This window comes from Homo sapiens, chromosome 8 (genome assembly GCF_000001405.40).
Source record: "Homo sapiens chromosome 8, GRCh38.p14 Primary Assembly".
NCBI classification, from domain to species: Eukaryota; Metazoa; Chordata; class Mammalia; order Primates; family Hominidae; genus Homo; species Homo sapiens.
In genome coordinates, this window is record NC_000008.11 from 97,673,550 (window position 1) to 97,694,112 (window position 20,563).

The following is a 20,563-nucleotide window of genomic DNA, read 5'->3' on the forward strand; positions in this document are numbered from 1 at the left end:
CTTGGGAGGCTGAGGCAGGAGAATCATTTGAACCCAGGAGGTGGAGGTTGCAGTGAGCTGAGATCGCGCTGTTGCACTCCAGCCTGGGCAACAAGAGCAAAACTCTGTCTTGGGCGGGGCGGGGAAGGGGGGGCACAGGAATTGGCCGGGTGCAGTGGCTCACACCTTTAATGCCAGCACTCTGGGAGGCCAAGGCGGGCAGATAGCTTGAGCTCCAGAGTTCAAGACCAGCTTGGGCAACATGGCAAAACCCTGTCTCTACCAAAAATATAAAAATTAGCCAGGCATGGTGGTGCATGCTTGTATTCCCAGCTACTTGGGAGGCTGAGGTAGGAGCATTGCTTGAGCCCAAGAGGCGGAGGTTGCAGTGAACCAAGATCGTACCACTGCACTCCAGCCTGGTCAACAGAGCGAAACCCTATCTCAAAAATCAGTTAATCAAAAAAAATTTTTTTAATTAGCCAGGCATGGTGGCATGCACCTGTAGTCCCAGCTACTCAGGAGGCTGAGGTGGGAGGATCACTTGAGCCCCAGAGTTTGGGACTGTAGCAAGCTGTAATCAAGTCACTGGCACTCCAGCCTGAACAACAGAGACCCTGTCTCTGAAAAGAACAAAAATGAGAAAAAAAATCAAGCACGGTAAGGAGATAGAGATAAAGTGCAGGTTGTGGGCACTTCCCTGCACCTGCAATTCTCCTACTTCTTCCATTTAGGAAAATAACAATAGTACCAAGTGGAATAACCTTGAATCTCCTTTAAGTTAAACCCCACCAAAAGGGGGGAAATCAATTGCAGACTTTTCTACTCTTAAGGAGATTTGTGACAGTTTTCACACTCTCATCCTGATATTGTATCACAAGGTTACTAAGATGGAGAACTGCTGGTATAGGCAAAATAGTGAAATATAACTAGTATGCTTCTTGGATAATCCATGCTTTCCCATTTAACCATGCCCAGTTTGTATATATATTTGGGACAAGTGAGAAAAATAAATAGTGCCAAAATGTGAAGCAATCTAAAGTAGGAACTTGCCATATTTGGCCAGAAAGTGGGTGAAATTGACTCTAAAGCAATTTTAATTTTATCAAGTGCATTTTAAAAAACATTGTTAATATTACAAAAATGAAAATGTTGACACAATAGAAGTAGAAAAAACAAAAATCTCAGAAAATAGAACACTTTTTTCCATGAGGTAGTTGAAAACCTTATACACCAGTCAGTAGTCTGCAGACCAAAACATCATAGCAAGAAAATACTCAGCATTCTTTTTTTTTTTCTTGAGACAGAGTCTTGCTCTGTCACCTAGGCTGAACTGCAGTGGCATGACCAAGGTTCACTGCAACCTTGCCCTCCCGGGCTCAAGTGATTCTCCCACCTCAGCTTCCCAAGTAGCTGGGACTACAGGCATGCACCACCACACCCGACTAATTTTTTATTTTTTGTAGAGATGGGGTCTCACCATGTTGCCCAGGCTGGTCTTGAACTCCTGGGCTCAAGTGATCCACCTGCTACGGCCTCCCAAATTGTTGAGATTACAGATGTGAGCTGTTGTGCCCAGCCAGCATTCCCTTTTATTCATGCTCTCATTCCTTTATCACTTCTGGCATTACCATGAAAATCTTTAGATGTTTATAGGGCTATAAATATTAAAGATGTCAGTTCACCAAATTTTTAAGGACCAGTACATCCAGAATAGAGAATTAATAAATTGAGTAAGAATTACATTCAGGGCTGAGCACAGTGGCTCACACCTGTAATCCCAGCACTTTGGGAGGCTGAGGTGGGTAGATCACCTGAGGTCAGGAGTTTGAGACCAGCCTGGCCGACATGGCGAAACCCAGTCTCTACTAAAAATACAAACATTAGTTGGGTGTGGTGCCATGCACCTGTAGTCCCAGGTACTCGGGAGGCTGAGGCACAAGATTGCTTGAACCCAGGAGGTGGAGGTTGCAGTGAGACGAGATCGTGCCACTGCACTCCAGCCTGGGTGACAGAGCAAGACTCTGTCTCAAAAAAAAAAAAAAAAAAAATTACATTCAGGGCCAGGCAAAGGGGACTCATACCTGTAATCCCAGCACTTGGGAGGCTGAGGTGGGCAAATTGCTTGAGCTCAAGAGTTCGAAACAAGCCTGGGCAACATGGCAAAACCCTGTCTCTTCAAAAAATACAAAAATTAGCCTGGTGTGGTAGCGTATGCCTGTAGTCCCAGCTCCTTCGGAGGCTGAGGTGAGAGGATGGCTTAAGCCCAGGAGGTAGAAGTTGCAGTGAGCCGAGATCATGCCACTGCACTCCAGCCTGGGTAGCAGAGCCAGACCCTGTCTACAAAAAAAAAAGAATTTACATTTAGAACCTGGCTACCTACCTTGTATAAATGGCTAGTTGCAAATAGGTTTTTTTTTTTTTTTTTCTGAGATAGGGTCTCACTCTGTTGCCCAGGCTGAGTGCAGTGGTACAATCATGGCTCACAGCATCCTCAATCTTACGGGCTCAGGTGATCCTCCCATCTCAGCCACCCAAGTAGCTGGGACTACAGGCGTGCACCACCATGCCTGGTTAATTTTTGTATTTTTTGTAAAGACAGGGTCTCACTGTATTGCCCAGGCTGTTCTCGAACTCCTGGATGCATGTGTTCCTCCCACCTCTGTCTCCCAAAGTGCTGGGATTACTGGCTTGAGCCATTGCACCTGGCCACAGAAGGTGTTTTATTTTTATTTACTTATTTTTGCTTTTATGGTTTGTCTCTGGGATGTAGAAAGTATCTTAATGATAAGAATAGTGTCACTTAAAATTTGTACGGTATCCCCCTTGTGATAGTTTTGATACTATACAGATAATAGATTATACTCCTTAAATTGGTCTTTTTGGCATGAATTGTACACTATGCCTTTCTTTGTACTTTGCAATTCTCTGTCAAAATCTGCTAAGGGGGCAGTTAGCCATTTGAATAGCTCTACTCTTGCTGCCAACATGTACTTTTTGCCACTCTAATAAGTGATACCACTTATTGTTTGGGTATTGTCTAATATTAGAAATACTCAGCTGTGTGTGGTGGCTGACGCCTGCAATCCCAGCACTTTGGGAGGCCAAGGTGGGTGGATTGCTTGAGCCTAGGAGTTCGAGACCAGCTTGGGCAACATGGTGAAACCTTGTCTCTACAAAAAATACAAAAATTGGCCAGGTGTGGTGGCTCATGCCTGTAATCCCAGCACTTTGGGAGGCCCATGTGGACAGATCACGAGGTCAGGAGATCAAGACCATCCTGGCTAACATGGTGAAACCCCCTCTCTACTAAAAAATACAAAAAAATTAGCTGGGCGTGGTGGCACATACCCGTAGTCCCAGCTACTCAGGAGGCTGAGACAGGAGTATTGCTTGAACCCAGGAGGTGGATGTTGCAGTGAGCTGAGATTGTGCCATTGCACTCCAGCCTGGGCGACAGAGTGAGACTCTATCTCAAAAAAAAAAAAAAAAAAAAATACAAAAATTAGCCAGGCATGATGACGCATGCCTATAGTCCCAGCTACGTGGGAAGCTGAGGTAGGAGGATCACTTGAGCCCAGGAGGTCAAGGCTGCAGTGAGCCTTGATCACACCACTGCACTCCAGCCTGGGCAACAGTAAAAGCCTGTCTCAAAAAAAAAAAAAAAAAAAAAAAAAAAAAAAGGCCGGGCGCAGTGGCTCATGCCTGTAATCCCAGCACGTTGGGAGGCCGAGGCAGGTGGATCACAAGGTCAAAAGTTCGAGACCAGCCTGGCCAAGATGGTGAAACCCCGTCTCTACTAAAAATAAAAAATTAGCCGGGCATGGTGGCAGGTGCCTGTAGTCCCAGTTACTCGGGAGGCTGAGGCAGGAGAATTCCTTGAACCTGGGAGGCGGAGGTTGCAGTGAGCTGAGATCATGCCACTGCACTCTAGCCTGGGCGACAGAGCGAGACTCCATCTCAAAAAAAAAAAAAAGAAAGAAAGAAAGAAAAGAAAAAGGAAGTGGACACTATTATTTCTAGTAAGAACTCTATCAGCTACATCACCATGAAGTTATGATGATTTAATCAGATGTTATATAAATTGATCCAGATAGTGAAATCATCAAGAAGGGGTTTTGAAATAACAATATGTTTATACTTTTGGTATTTAAAATAAAAACTTTGCCTAATTATACTGTGCCTTGAAATTTTAGCTAATGGTATTCTGAAACTATTCTAATTTAGCAAGATATCTAAGCATTCAGAATGTAAAAACTGGCATTTCTAGTTTTTTTGGAGGTATTTATTTATGCATTATTCTATATGACAAAATTTTACTGAATTTAATTATAAATGACTGGATGCATTTCTTGAGGGTTTCTTATTTAAATAGAGAAAGAAATACTATGGGGAAACACTTGTTCCTCTGCCATGGTAATTAGCAAAAAACAATATTACAGCCAATCAAAATGCATTCATTCATTAGCATATACTGTTTGATGCAGCATAAAAATGTTGCTAATGATATTAAATAAATTAGTACCAGAGCAAATTTCCCAGCCTGGTAGGGATAATGTACAGATGTTTCTAACATTAAAGCTTGGGAGTACTTGCTAGATTCTATTTCAGTAATGAAACACATGAAGAACCACTTTTGTGAGCAATTAAAGAGATATCCACAAAGATATATTCTCAACTGTAAATCACTTATTTAACTTTTTTGAATGTTTGTGGAAAAACTAAACAAAAACCACTGATGGACGGCTTTGACTGGAATTAAAAAAATAAATGGAGAGTTAGGGAGAGATACCACCATGTGTGAAATTTATTTACTACATTATTTCTAGAAAACTATGATGACAAAAGAGATTAATGCCAGATGGCAAATTGGAAGACCTTCAAATTACAGTAAGGGTGAAGGTGATAATCATCTTTTATGATGCAAAGATTTTACAAGAGGATTCATTGACTCTATTATAGCAAAATACTTTGATAAAGCTGAACAACTTTTAAAAGCGAGTCATACATTTTTTCTCCTTTCTCCCTCTTTCTCTCTCTGTTTCCTTTGCTTCCTTCCTTCCTTCTTTTTTTTTTTTTTTTTTTTTTTTGAGAGAGAGACAGAATTGCTTAGTCACCCAGGCTGGTCTCGAACTCCTGGCCTCAAACAATCCTCCCACCTCAGCCTCCCAATATTTCGGGATTACAGGCATGAGCCACCTTGACTGGCCTATTTTTCTTTTATGAAAAATGAAGTGTTCCAAGTCTGTTTATCTTTTTTATAAAGATAAATGGTTGTCTGCTTACCAGATACTTTTACAAAGAATTTATACTGAATCTGCCCCTTCACGCTTAAGGAAAGCTTACTTAACAAGATGTCAGAAAATAGCCAATTTTTGAAAGAAACTCATGCAATGAAGAGTGTATTCTGACAAACTTACATCATTGCATGATTTGTTATTAAAGAGCGTTTGTACGTTAGATGTGAAAATCCTCATATCTGCCCAGCTTGGGAGCAATTTTCTAACAGAAAAATAGCCTAACAGCCCAGATTCCAGAGCACGAGTACATGGGATCCAATTCCAGTTCTAACACTTGACTAATGATGTGATTTGGGGGTTGGTTAGTAATCACTTGTGCCTCCCTTTTCTTATCTACAAAATGGATAGAATAGCATTTACCTAGGGTTACTTTGAGAATTTAAATGGAACTATGTAAGTAATAGCTATAAACCAGATGTAAAATTTTGTCTTTTTAGTGAATTCACTTGTTAAAAATACAAAAAAAAATTATCTCACCCATGGTAATAACAAGAACAAAATGATGATGATGATAATAGTAATAATAATAATAAAGTAGAAAGTACCAAAAACTGTAGAACTTTCTGATCTACAGTTCAATACAGAAACAATGTATTGATGTTAAAGATTAAAATTTACTGGCTGAATTTTCACAAAAACTTTTGCATAGTTGGAGAATTAGGTTGAAAAATTAGTGTCGTATTTCAGTAAGCATGGCCAATCATGTGTCTTCCATTTTGATCTTCTTACTTTTTCAAGTATAACAATATTTAATACCAGATATTAAAATGAATGCATTTAGAAGATATTCGAAAGAATGAAGCATGTGCATTGATATTGCTATCACTAAAAATAGTTATATTTTACAAATGTATACACTATCAGTGTAGTAGAATGTGTATAAAATTTATAAACAAATATCTTGGGGTATATGCTCAATTTTTTCCCATGGAAGTATGAGAACAACAAGCTTATTTAACCCGCTGTTACAAGAGTGATAGCAGACCCCTTTATCTGGCATATTTACTCAGGTATTTAAGTGAGTTACCATATGTTCCATATATTGATTAGCAATTGAGTATTGGCACTGCTTATTTACTTATTTTGAGTAACTCCTAATAAGATACTAGAATTTTTGGAACTTATTCGTCATAATTTCCTAAGGAATTATCAATCTGTCTTATTCAGTATATATCTTTGGCAGTTTTAGAAAGTTGTAATGGTGGATCTAATGATTATTTATCAAAGCCTTTTCGTCATCTAGTTTTTTTGTTTGTTCGTTTGAGACAAGGTCTTGCTCTGTCGCCCAAGCTGGAGTGCAGTGGTGCAATCTTGGCTCACTGCAACCTCGACCTCCTGGGCTCAAGTGATCCTCCCACCTCAGTCTGCCGAGTAGCTAGGACTACAGGTGTGCACCACCATGCCCAGCTAATTTTTTATTTTTTGTAGAGACACAGTTTTGCCGTGTTGCCCAGGCTGGTCTCAAACTCCTGGCCTCAATCGGTCGGCCCACCTCAGCCCCTCCAAAGTGCTGGGATTACAAGCATGTACCACCGCACCCAGCTCATCATCTAGATTTAAAAGAATGGAGCCATTTGCTGTTCCACGTGCAAATATTGTTTGTAGTCCCAATGAATATGTATTCATTGTCATTTAACTCATTCCTCTTTTAGGAGTGTTATGGTGTGTGTATGTATACATGCACATACATGTGCACACATGCCTATACATGTACTTAACATATAACACAAAGATTTTTTTCTAATGGGACTATACTATAGCCTACTTTGTTGGTAATATCTGTATTATGTATATGAGATGGAAAGAAGACATAATGTGAAATTTAGTGAAAGCTAATAGGAAAATTAACATACAGATTTTTTGAGATGACTTCTGATACATTGAGTGATGTCTGTTTTGAATAATTTCAGAGGTTTTGGGTTAAAGGTCGTTAGTTTCATGCAGTATCTGAACCCCTGCTAATTTCAAATGCTAGACAGGCTTCCTCAAAAGCGTATTTCTATCAGTGCTGATCATGAAGCATTCAAATAAAGGGAAGTAGAGATTCTGTTGAGAATATAATGAAATATCTCTTGTTCTTTTGCTTTTAAGAAGCTTATTATTAGAAAACTGGGAACACTTTAACACATGGAAAGGTATAGCCATACTGGAAATGTCCCAAGGAAGTTTGTGACAAATGACCAAATCTTTTTCAGTTTTAAATGTTTTGAGATGCAAGATTATATGTATTTAGGGGAAAGGAAAAGGGGGACAGTGGTAGAGATAAAGCAAATGGAGTGGAACGTGAGCTGGGTCAGAAAAAAAAAATGAGTACAGGCCATTTCAGGCATTGAACATCGGTAGGGGAGCAGATGATTCAGGTGCAAAGAAAATCACTCCAGCACTTTGTTCTGAGAAAAAATCCACAGTCAGTGCAGCTTGGTTAAAAACAGGAATGTTCAAAGAGGTACCAGTCTTGTAGGAATCAAATGCTCATATGTATGAATAAAGGAATGTAAGGTTGAGATCAATTTGTGGAAGACATCATATGTCATGTAAGGAAGTTAGACCTTGTAAAAGGTAGGAAATATCTGCAGCGGTTTTTTTTTTTAAAGTAAGAATGAAAATTAATTGGATTGATAAGATATATTGGGAAGGAAACTCTTGAAGATAAGAATTTTTTCTTTTTTTTTTTTTTTTTTTGAGATGGAATTTCGCTCTTGTTACCCAGTCTGGAGTGCAATGGTGTGATCTCAGCTCACTGCAACCTCCGCCTCCCGGGTTCAAGCGATTCTTCTGCCTCAGCCTCCCGAGTAGCTGTGATTACAGGCATGCACCAGCACGCTTGGCTGATTTTTGTATTTTTAGTAGAGATAGGTTTTGTTATGTTGGCCAGCCTGGTCTCAAACTCCTAACCTCAGGTAATCCGCCCACCTCAGCCTTCCAGGTGCTGGGATTACAGGCATGAGCCACCGTGCCCAGCCAATAAGAATTTTTCCTAATGTCTCACTTGCGTGTCATCCTCCTATTAGATGATAGCGCAGTTGCTATCAGTAAAGACTTGTATTTAGTTATGTATACTCGGCTCCTAAAACAGTGTCTGACACATAGTAGTTATTTTATAAATCTTGGTTGTATGAAGACCATTTAAGAGAAGACCAGTTTAATTATCCACTCAGTTCTGTGGTGGAGCCTGACAACAAGTTAGGGAAAAAAGAACTGTGGTAACAAGGAAGCCAGAGCTTTATGCTACCAGCTTCCTTCAAAAGTCTTAGCTAAAGTGGAGCTGCTAAGAAGTAAGATGTTTGCTTCAGTAGTATGGCCAGGGCAAATAGCAGTATATATCACATATTTATTTTAAAGTTTTTCATAAGCTATTATTTTATTTAATCTTATCGGGATGGGTGTTCTTGTTAATTACTTTATATATATATATATATATATATATATATATATATATATATATATATATATTTTTTTTTTTTTTTTTTTTTTTTTTTTTTTTTTTTGAGATGGAGTCTTGCCCTGTCGCCCAGGCTGGAGTGTAATGGTGTGGTCTTGGCTCACTGCAACCTCCGCCTCCCAGGTTCAAGCGATTCTCCTGCCTCAGCCTCCCGAGTAGCTGGGATTATAGGCGCCCGCCACCACGCCTGGCTAATTTTTATTATTTTTAGTAGAGACAGGGTTTCACCATGTTGGCCAAGGCTGGTTTCAAATTCCTGACCTCAGGTGATCTGCCTGCCTTGGCCTCCCAAAGTGCTGGGATCACAGGCGTGAGCCACCGCACCTGGCCTTTTGTTAATTACTTTTAAAGGCAGTAGTAATATCAAATAATATTTAAGCCTAATCTAAGATAATCTTTTTCTACAGATTTTTAGTTACAAATCCCCAGATATTTCCTTGTAAACATAATTTCTATTATTTTTTCAAAGTCTCCCTTCTTAAAAAAAAATCTTATTTATATATACTACTTTGTCGTTAACAGACTCTTTTCACCTTTTGTTTTAATTCTTAAAATAACCTTATATGAGGTTAGTAGGAATTTTTGTCCATATGACGGGTGGGGAACAGGGTTTAGAATGATTTAGCCCAAAGTCACATAGCTAATGTATGATTAAATTTGTATTTAGAGTTAAATGTGGGGAGACTAAATAAGAGGTTATTTGCAAGGGTAAAGTGGATCAGAACTGGAATTTAGTCCTAGTTTCACCACTTTACCCTATGATGCTCTTAGACACTTTTTTTTTTTTTTTTTTTTTTTTTTTTTTTTTTTTTGAGATGGAGTCTCTCTCTGTCACCCAGGCTGGAGTGCAGTGGAGCGATCTCAGCTCACTGCAACCTCTGCCTCCCAGATTCAAGCGATTCTACTGCCTCAGCCTCCCGAGTAGCTGGGACTACAGGCACGTGCCACCACACCTGGCTAATTTTTTGTATTTTTAGTAGAGATGGGTTTCACCATGTTAGCCAGGATGGTCTCGATCTCCTAAGCTCAGGATCTGCCCGCCTCAGCCTCCCAAAGTGCTGGGGTTACAGGCGTGAGCCACCACGCCCAGCCTCTTAGACACTTTTCTTTGTTTTTTGTTTGTTTGTTTTTTGGAGTTTTTTTGAGACAGGGTCTCACCCCGTTACCCAGGCTGGAATACAGTGACATGATCACAGCTCACTTCAGCCTCAACCTCCCAGGCTTGAGTGATCCTCCCACCTCAGCCTCCCAAGTAGCTGGAACCACAGTTGCATGCCGCCACCCCCACTGATTTTTTTTTTTTAAGAGAGAGAATCTCCCTGTGTGTTGCCCTGGCTGGTCTCATACTCCTGAGCTCAAGTGATCCTCCCACCTCAACCTTCCAAATTGCTGGGATTACAGGTGTAAACCACCGCACTCAGCAATCTTAAACACTTTTTATGGCCTCAGTTTCTATGTGTAAAATGGGGATACCTACTTTAGTTCCTGTGGACCTGCACTGTCCAGTATAGTGGCCACTTGCCACGTGTGGATATTGAGCACTTAAAATGTGACTAGTCCGGCCGGGCGCTGTGGTCACGCCTGTAATCCCAGCATTTTGGGAGGCCGAGGCGGGTGGATCACCTGAGGTTGGAAGTTTGAGACCACTCTGACCAACATGGAAAAACCCCATCTCTACTAAAAATACAAAATTAGCTGGGCATGGTAGCGCATGCCTGTAATCCCAGCTTCTCAGGAGGCTGAGGCAGGAGAATCGCTTGAACCCAGGAGGCAGGAGAATCGCTTGAACCCAGGCGGCAGAGGTTGCGGTGAACTGAGATCGCGCCATTGCACTCCAGCCTGGGCAACAAGAGTGAAAAACTCCTTCTCAAAAAAAAAAAAAAAACGACTAGTCCAAATTGAGATTGCTGTTAAGTGTAAAATACATGCCAGATTTCGAAGACTTACTTTGTTTTCTTTTACATACTATCTTATTGTGTTGCTTTTTTTATATGAGTTCCATGTTGAAATGACAGTATTATAGATACGTTGTGTTAAAATTGTCACCTATTTTAACTTAAAAATGTGTCTACTAGAAATTTTTAAAAATATATATGTGGTTTGCATTATATTTCTGTTGGCCAGCACTGCTCTAGACCAAGGATAGCAAACTCTGACACCCCAAATCCAGACAGATGCCTGTTTTTGTAAATAAAATTTTATTGGAACATAGTCACACCCCTTTGTTTATAAATTGTATGTGGCTGCTTTCATGCTATATGAGCAGAGTTCTGTGGTTGCTCCAAAACCCTGTGGCTTGCAAAGCCTAACATATTTACTATTTGATCCTTTGCAGAAAAAGTTTGCTGCCTCTGCTCAACTGTAGTTGACAGATGTTCAATATGTTACCTTTACTTAAGAGCGGCTATGGTAAAGACAAAGACAGAAAGTAGAATCATGGTTGCCAGTGAGAAAAGAGGAGCTGGGAGTAAACGCTAATCATTACAGAGTTTCTTTTTGGGGATTAAATAATAATTTTGAGGCTGGGAGCAGCTCACGCCTATAATCCCAACACTTTGGGAGGCCAAGGCGGATCACTTAAGGTCAGGAGTTCGAGACCAGCCTGGCTGACATGGTGAAATCCCATCTCTATTAAAAATATAAAAATTATACAGATGTGGTGGTGGGCACCTGTAATCCCAGCTACTCGGGAGGCTGAGGCCGGAGAATTGCTTGAACCTGGGAGGCAGAGGTTGCAGTGAGCTGAGATCATGGCACTGCAGTCCAGCCTGGGTGACAGAGCGAGACTCCGTCTCAAAAAAAACCAAAAAATAATAATTTTGATAGTTGTGCAACTTCAGATATACTAAAAACCACTGAATTGTGTACCTTTAAAAGGGTGACTATTATGGTATGTGGATATCTCCACATATCTTTTTTTTTTAAGTGGATATGAGTCTAGTTTAGTACATGTAATAAAGCAGTATATTAATTATACATACTGTAATAAAACAGTGTATTAAACATACATGTTAATGATAATGAGAACATGCAGCAAAATGAACAATGCAAATCAATTATGAGGTCAGTAAAAAAAATTTATTTTTTTAATGTAATCTCTTGTCAAAGACAATTTTTAATCACTTTGAATAGATCATGTCACTTGAGCATATATGCAGGTTTTTTATTGGTAGGAAAAGCAGTTTTCTGTCATTGCTTACTCACTTGCTCAGATTCATTTACTGCCTTTAAGATAGTGTGCAGTACTTTGAGAGGCCACGGCGGGCAGAGCACAAGGTCAGGAGTTTGAGACCAGCCTGGCCAACATGGTGAAGCCCTGTCTCTACTAAAAATACAAAAATTAGCCAGGCATGGTGGCAGGTGCCTGTAATCCCATCTACTCCTGAGGCTGAGGCAGGAGAATTGCTTGAACCCAGGAGGTGGAAGTTACAGTGAGCCGAGATCACGCCACTGCACTCCAGCCTGGGTGACAGAGCAAGACTCCATCTCAGAAAAAAAAAAAAAGATAGTGTGCAGTAGTATATACATAGCTGATCTCAATAAATAGCTAAATAAGTGAATACAAAGTATAAAAATACTATTTTATAAACGTTAATTCTCTTTTGGAAGCACTTATTGAAATACAGAAATTATGGCTTATTTCGTTTTTAGCAAGCTTTTGAAAGGATAGAATAATATTAGGAGAAGGGAATTGGAATATCATTCGAAAACAGCCATAACTTGTATGCGTATAGGTATTTTATCTGGATTGAAGTATTAAACATCTGTATACAAATCCTAGGTATTTTCACATTGCTTTGAAACTGACAAAATATTACCTGCTATGTACAATTGACTCATTAATTTGTTATACATAGGATACAGCAACAATCTGCTTTATGCAATCCAAAAACTGATAATCACCACATAATTTTTCATCTGAATATGTTGCAATAGGTTTTAATTTTATTGCTTTGAAAACACCGTATTACAGTACTGTATTTATGACGTAACTTATATTAGCATGATGTGGAAGGGCACAGGCTTTGGAGCCAGACAGACCTAGTTCCTAATTATGACTTAGTTTACTAACAATATGATGTGGTAACAATTTAGTTAATATTTAACATCTCTAAGTTTTCATTTCCTCATCTCTAAAATGGGACTAATACCTTCTCCAGCAAGTTTCTTTTAAGGAATAAATAAGAAAATGAGTACAGAATACTTAACACATAGTAACCACTCACTCAATGGTAACCTCATATGATTATTTTTGCCACTTAATATGTTAAGTTTTTTAAATCAAACATTAATTTTTTTTTAGTTGTCAGCATCATACATTTCATTATGTATTTTACTGACTCCTACTTATTCAAAAACATAACAAAATATTAAGTAACATTCTATTTTACTTTCAGTCAAAGAAAAATAAGAAGAAATCAAAGTCAGATGCTAAAGCAGTGCAAAACAGTTCACGCCATGATGGAAAGGAAGTTGATGAAGGTACTTGAGCAAGGGAAAGGACTGTAGAAAATTTTTTAATCCTTTTTTATCAAAGTGTATTATATAAAAGCTGCATTTGTTTTACTTAATTTTGTGTTTAGCTCTTCTTTTTTATTACTGTAGACCTTAATATATAGAGCTGTGACACTGTTAGGAAACGCTTTTGTTAAGGATCCAGTAGTGCTTTTTCTGAAGGGAACTGCCCTGAAATTTAAAGTCAAGCTCAGTATTTTGAGCAATTAAAAAGTCATTCATCTTGTCTTTGTCTCCTGGAATTATGGTTTGTTTGTTTTTCCCCCGTGGTTCTTAAATATACCATTTATTATCACCACCTAATAAACCCATTTATTAGTGATTATATATAATACTCCTGTCACTTCTACCTAGCAAGATAAAAAAAGATAGACAAGATGACTTATATATATCACTTTTTCTAAACCATAGATGACAGATTTGATAAAAATTACCAGAATAAATAATAACAGTTGCCTAAAACAACATAATGAAATTAGAAAACATTCTTAGGATGAGTTAATATAATCAACACTCTTGGTTTTAGCTTAACATCTAAATTTATCATGATATTTTATGTGCTCCACCCCATATTCTCCCCCAAAACTATAACTTTTTTGTCTTCCCCTTACTGAATAACATTTTTTTTCTGGGGCTATGTCAGGAGCCTGGGAAACTAAAATTAGTCACAGAGAGAAACGACAGCAGCGTAAACGTGATAAGGTGCTGACTGATTCTGGTTCATTGGATTCAACTATCCCTGGGATAGAAAATACCATCACAGTTACCACCGAGCAACTTACAACCGCATCATTTCCTGTTGGTTCCAAGAAGAATAAAGGTATATTAGTGGAACATAAGACAGTGGTACATCAAATCAAACTCCTTTTATTCGGATGTACAAAATATCATTATGTCAAAATCTGACTATTTTGAATGCTAACATCATTGTGCTGATATACCCTTCTTCATGAGAGTATTGTGAACCATGTATCGGTTTACCGAATACCAGCAGTGTTACTTGTTACGTATTGCCTAATGACTGGCCTATTAAATTAAAATTTGCCTTTCTGCCTTGAGTCATATGAGAAAATGATGTTGCCACTTTTCTAGTGCGTATCACTTTGCCCCAACTCCCTTGCATCTCTGTTCCTTAGAGTGGATAAGACATTTATTAAATGAAATGATTTATCACCATTTTGCATGTTGAGAGCTTTCATTCCAAGATGAATCATGCATGTTCTGGTGAGTGCAGGTTGTGTCTGGATTTCTTATCACCCCACCTTTTTGAGAATATTATAGATGTTTGATAGAGCTAGACCAGAACTTCAAAGATTGAGCTAATGTTCTTTCTCTCAAGTATTAATATTTCAGATGTTCATACTATCCAATACTGGTGGCTTCTTGGTAGCCCACTCTTTAAATTACCGTCATTTTTACCCTGGAGACACCAGTCTGCAAAGTGATACTGTTCAATTTGCTGGAAGGCATTGGCGTATCTTCCTTGTCTTTTTGTTAATGACCTTCCCACCTCCCCACACCTCAGTTGTTTCCAAACCATTTTCTTAGCCTTGTTACCTTTTATTTTTTGCTTGATAACTTGGTGGAATTTATTGCCATGGTACAGCAATGACTTCTACTTACCCATTTTCACTGTTACATATTAGCTATGCTTTAGTATTTTTGTTGATTCTTTTTCGCTGTCTTGTGCATGCCATCCTTGCTAGCACAATCCTATGTCATGCTGGTTTTTTTAAACATTGTGATCATTATGCTTTTTAGTGTCAGAGAAATAGTATTTTTGTGTTATAATGTGTATTCTCACCTCTTGCCATATTTCCTAAGTCCTGGTCCCAAATACTGGCAAAGTTCTTCATAAGGTGATGTGTTTGCTTCCAGGATTGTTGAAAAGGCAGCGGGTGTTGTTGAGAGGTGGCAAAGTTGAATCCAATTACAGAGCCCAATACTGCAGTTCATACTTAAAATAATCTTGATAACTGTTGTAGAATAGCAAACTCTGTCTGTACATAGGCAGTTTTCCAGGTTCTTTTTGGCATTTTAGTTGACTAAGAATATGGTAACCAGAAAACTCAGTTCCTTACCAACAAGTGAAATGTGTTGTAAAATTGACTTTTTTCCAGTGGAAGAATTTAGCACTTGAAGGAGCAATTTATAATAGATAATAATTAAAAATTAATTTATGTGTTACTCCTAATTTAATGTGCATAGTGCCCTATTTAGTATTAAATAAATTTTATTTCTATTTTAACCAGGTGATTCTCATCTAAATGTTCAAGTTAGCAACTTTAAATCTGGAAAAGGAGATTCTACACTTCAGGGTGAGAGAAATTACATGTAACTTAAATTGAAGGCCCATCAAAATAGAAATTTATATACATACCTCTTTCCTCAAATGAATGACACAGAAGGAAAGAAAAAAGTCTTAAAATGATTTTTAATTAATAAAGTAACATAATCACAGTACAGAGATTTTGGAAAATAAATAAAAAGAAAAATCACACCCACTTCTAACGATCTTTGATATGTTCTAGTCTTTTTCCCCCATATATAAAAACATTCAGTAGTCGCTTATATTGCAACTTTGAACCTTGTCACTTAAGTCAGTAGAGAAGAAAGATTTTTGTTGGGCTTGGGTTTAATATAGCATATATCGGATAAAATACTTGATGCTTGTATGTTAAAAAAAAAAAAAGCTTTAGTTCCTATAATGTTTTAACTGCTTCCTTGACAGTCAAGTATCAAATATTTCACAATGGATTATAGGCTAAAGTTTTTCATTGCTTTATAAATAGAAAATATGTTTTATTTACTCATTTATGATAAAGATTGAATTAAGTAGAGTGTTATGCCTGACCTGAAAACAAAAGTGTTGTAGTAAAATAAAATTGGAAATGAAAAAAGCACCTTCTTCTTTCAGGCCTTTTTTTTTTTTTTTTTGGGAAATGGAATTTCACCCTTGTTGCCCAGGCTGGAGTGTAATGGCATGGTTTTGGCTCACTGCAACCTCCACCTCCCGGGTGCAAGCAATTCTCCTGCCTCAGCCTCCCGAGTAGCAGGGATTACAGGCGCCCACCACCATACCTGGCTAATTTTTTTATTTTTTAGTAGAGATGGGGTTTCACCTTGTTGGCCAGGCTGGTCTCGAACTCCTGACCTCAGGTGATCCACCCACTGCAGCCTCCCAAAGTGCTGGAATTACAGGCATCAGGCTTTTTTTTTTTTTTTTTAAAGACAGAGTTTTGCTTGTTGTCCAGGCTGGAGTGCAATGGCACAATCTCGGCTCACTGCAACCTCCGCCTCCTGGGTTCAAACAATTCTGCTTCAGCCTCCTGAGTAGCTGGGATTACAGGCACTTGCAACTACGCCTGGCTAATTTTGTGTTTTTAGTAGAGGCAGGGTTTCACCATGTTGGCCAGGCTAGTCTTGAACCCTTGACCTCAGGTCATCTGCCTGCCCCCAGCCTCCCAAAGTGCTGGGATTACAAGTGTGAGCCACTGCGCCCAGCCTCATTTCACACTTTTCAGTGCTTGTTCTTAGCACTGTCAGCTTCCTTCATGCCCATGATTCTCAACCCTGGCTACACATTAGTTATCCAGGAAGCTGTAAAAAACAACATGTACACACATATATGTAAAAAGAAACAGGTACTTATCTATACACACACCTATGTGTATTTGTGTGTGTGTACATACATACACTCTACATATATAATGATACCTGGGCTCCACCACAAAGATTCAGATTTTAATTGGTCTGGGCTGAGGCTCCAGGGTCTATTGTTAATAAATTTTTCAGTTAATTTTAATGTGCAGCCAGGTTTTAGAATCATTGCTTGATACATAATGTAATATATATAAATAAGGAAAGAACATGTAACTAAGGAAATGTCTTCATATTCTTAGTGGGTGAGTATTCAGAATATGTGTCATTTTCCTCTTTGCTCTGTTGTACTTTCTTTGAGCAAGTTATTCTGCTGTGAACAACTTTGTTAGTATATATGTTATGTTCAAGCCTCCTGTTTTTAAATTAAGGCAATCCTTGGTGATCAAAGGATAGTAGGGGAAGTGAGTAATAAATATAAGTCAAGCAATCATAGAAATGTGAAAATATCCCAGTTTTAAGAAGTCATGTACCTGTTTTTTAATATTCATTTTCTTTTCTTTAAGTTTCTTCAGGATTGAATGAAAACCTCACTGTCAATGGAGGAGGCTGGAATGAAAAGTCTGTAAAACTCTCCTCACAGATCAGTGCAGGTGAGGAGAAGTGGAACTCCGTTTCACCTGCTTCTGCAGGAAAGAGGAAAACTGAGCCATCTGCCTGGAGTCAAGACACTGGAGATGCTAATACAAATGGAAAAGACTGGGGAAGGAGTTGGAGTGACCGTTCAATATTTTCTGGCATTGGTAAGAAGTGTTAGAAAAATTTAACTTTATTTAAAATTACTAATCTTGTACATTTTTAATTTTTCAGAAATAGAAAAAAAAACTATGAATAGAAAAATAAGTACTGCTCTGCAGAAATAATAGTAATAATTAACTCATCTCACATCCTTTTTGTAGAGCAAGGTGGGAATTAAATAAGTAAATAACATCATTTACTCTTTACATAGTGCTTTCACATACTTTATCACATTTGATTATCAACATAGCTAACTGGTGTAATTATATATTCTTAGTGATGTGATACATGTAATGTGTGGGTAGACTTTTTGATTAATTTCAACAATTCTGTTGAGTCTAAATAAAAATAGTAAATGGAAGTACAGTTGATAACATCCACTTATATTTTACAGTCTGCATGGTGCCTATTTATAATTAAATTTTCCTCCGGATTTTAATATAAAGACCAGTAGTTGAGAAGTTTATTTCTGTTGAGAGCTATCAAGTTAAAAGCAGCTTAATTTGTGTGTGTGTGTGTTTGTGTGTGTGTGTGTGTGTATTATAGAAAAGAAATCCACATTACATGTGGGCAATTGCAAAATGATAAGGAAAATCCCAAAATGCCACCTAGTGACAACTGCTGTTATTTATATTTCTTCTCCCTCCCTTTCTCCTGCCCGCAACTGTATATAGTGTTTTTTGTTGTTTTTTGTTTGTTTGTTTGTTTGTTTTTTTAATGGAGTCTTGCTCTGTCTCCCAGGCTGGAGTGCAGTGGCGCGATCTCAGCTCACTGCAACCTCCACCTCCCGGGTTCAAGCGATTCTCCTACCTCAGCCTCCCGAGTAGCTGGGATTATAGACATGGCATCACCATACCTGGCTAATTTTTCTATTTTTAGTAGGGACGGGGTTTTGCCATGTTGGCGAGGCTGATCGTGAACTCCTGACCTCAGATGATCTGCCAGCCTCGGCCTCCCAAAGTGCTGGGATTTACAGGCGTGCGCCATCGCACCCGGCCTATAGTTTTGCTTTAGTGTTTTTGTTTTTGATGTAATTCAAGTTGAATATGCATGTTTATGTCTCCCCTAGTCCCCACTTAACATTGTAACATAAACATTTTCCTTACTTTTTGTAAGTATATTTAATGGCCCTATAATGTTTAAGGATAGCATAACTTACTTAACTATTCCCATATTATTCAAGAAGTAATTTTCCTTTTTTTTTTGAGATGGAGTCTCACTCTGTCGCTGTCACGCTGGAGTGCAATGGCATGATCTCGGCTCACAACACCCTCTGCCTCCTGGGTTCAAGCAATTCTCTTGCCTCAGCCTCCCAAGTAGCTGGGATTACAGGCATACGCCACCAAACTCAGCTAATTATTTTTTTGTATTTTTAGTAGAGACGGGGTTTCACCATGTTGGCCAGGCTGGTTTCAAACTCCTGACCTCAAGTGATCCACCCACCTCGGCCTTCTAAAGTGTTAGGATTACAGGCCACGGCGCCCAGCCAATTTTCCTTTTTTTAACCATTGTAGATAATGTTTCACGGAATATATTTGTTTGGGATTTTTTTGTTGTGGTTTTTAAGATGGGGTCTCTCTCTGTTACCCAGGCTGGAGTGCAGTGGCATGATTTCAGCTCTCTACAACCTCTGCCTCCTGGGTTCAAGCATTTCTCATGCCTCAGCCACCCGAGTAGTTGGGATTACAGGCGCACACCACCACACTTGGCTAATTTTTGTATTTTTTTAGTAGAGGTGGGGTTTCACCATGTTGGCCACACTGGTCTAGAACTCTTGACCTCAAGTTGTCTTCCTACCCCAGCCTCCCAAAGTGCTGGGATTACAGGTGTGAGCCACCACACCTGGCCATGTTTTGCGGTTATTTCTTAAGGACAGAGTCTTGTGAGTGATATTGGATTAAAGGGAATATGGATGTTTGTAATGCTCTACTACATAGTGCCTAAGTATTTTCTAAGAGAGTTGTTCTAATTTATACTCAAAGCATCAGTATAAGTGCCCATTTATCATATGCTTACCAAGGTTGGGGATTTTTTTTTTCCGCCTTTTCTAATTCGATAAGCAAAAAGTACGTAAATTATTTTGGTTAACTTTTTGAAATCACTGATGAGATTGAAAAGTTTTCCACAACTTTCTTGGTCATTTCTTTTTTTGTTTGCTTGTTTGTTTGTTTGAGACGGAGTCTCGCTCTGTCGCCCAGGCTGGAGTGCAGTGCAATCTCAGCTCACTGCAACCTCCACCTCTCAGGTTCAAGTGATTCTCCTGCCTCAGCCTCCTAAGTAGCTGGGATTACAGGGGCCTGTCACCACAACCGGCTAATTTTTGTACTTTTAGTAGAGACAGGCCATGTTGGCCAGGCTGGTCTCAAACTCCTGACCTCATGATTCACCTACCTTGGCCTCCCAAAGTACTGGGATGACAGGCGTGAGCCACCATGCCCAGCCGTTTCTTGGTCATTTCTATTTCTTTTATGAATTGTCTGTTCTTGTTATTTTCCCATTTGTCTAATGAGCTCTTCATGTTTTTTTGTTTTGTTTTGTTTTTAATTTTTTGAGACAGGGTCGTACTCTGTTGTCCAGGCTGGAGTGCAGTGGTGTGATCATTGCTCACTGCAGCCTCGACTTCCAGGGCTCAAAAGATCTTCCTGCCTTAGCCTTCTTAGTAGCTGGGACCACAGGCATGTGCCACCACACCTGGCTAATTTTGGTATTTTTTTGTAGAGACAGTTTCGCCATGTTGCCCTGGCTGGTCTCAAACTCTTGGGCTCAAGTGATCCACCTGCCTCGGCTTCTCACAGTGCTGGGATTACAGATGTGGGCCACCACATCTGCCTACTATTTTATTTTTTAAATCTAGTTATACTTTCTTGTGCATTAAACATACGATTTTTTCTCTTGTGCTTATGGCAGATATTTTTATCTGCTCTAATTT

At 39.0% G+C, this 20,563-nt stretch overlaps 1 protein-coding gene across 10 annotated transcripts in view, besides 1 other annotated feature; it reads left to right on the forward strand.

Annotated features, from left to right (window-relative positions):
- Positions 1–20,563, forward strand: part of MTDH (metadherin) — an 86,077-nt gene that overhangs the window by 29,366 nt on the left and 36,148 nt on the right. For 6 of the 10 annotated variants that reach the window (NM_001363137.1, XM_011517369.4, NM_178812.4 and 3 more), the window contains exons 3-6: positions 13,119–13,203; positions 13,880–14,056; positions 15,489–15,554; positions 17,403–17,639. In NM_001363137.1, coding sequence (NP_001350066.1) covers positions 13,119–13,203; positions 13,880–14,056; positions 15,489–15,554; positions 17,403–17,639 — 565 coding nt within the window. The remainder of the gene's footprint in view (positions 1–13,118; positions 13,204–13,879; positions 14,057–15,488; positions 15,555–17,402; positions 17,640–20,563) is intronic. The other 4 variants (XM_011517368.3, NM_001363136.1, XM_047422418.1 and 1 more) reach the window with 1 other exon arrangement.
- Positions 4,949–5,149: a silencer, noted in NCBI's record as "peak7115 fragment used in MPRA reporter construct". NCBI's record gives its function as "represses an SCP1 promoter by STARR-seq MPRAs in K562 erythroleukemia cells {active_cell/tissue: K562}" and the evidence as "EXISTENCE:reporter gene assay evidence [ECO:0000049][PMID:32103011]".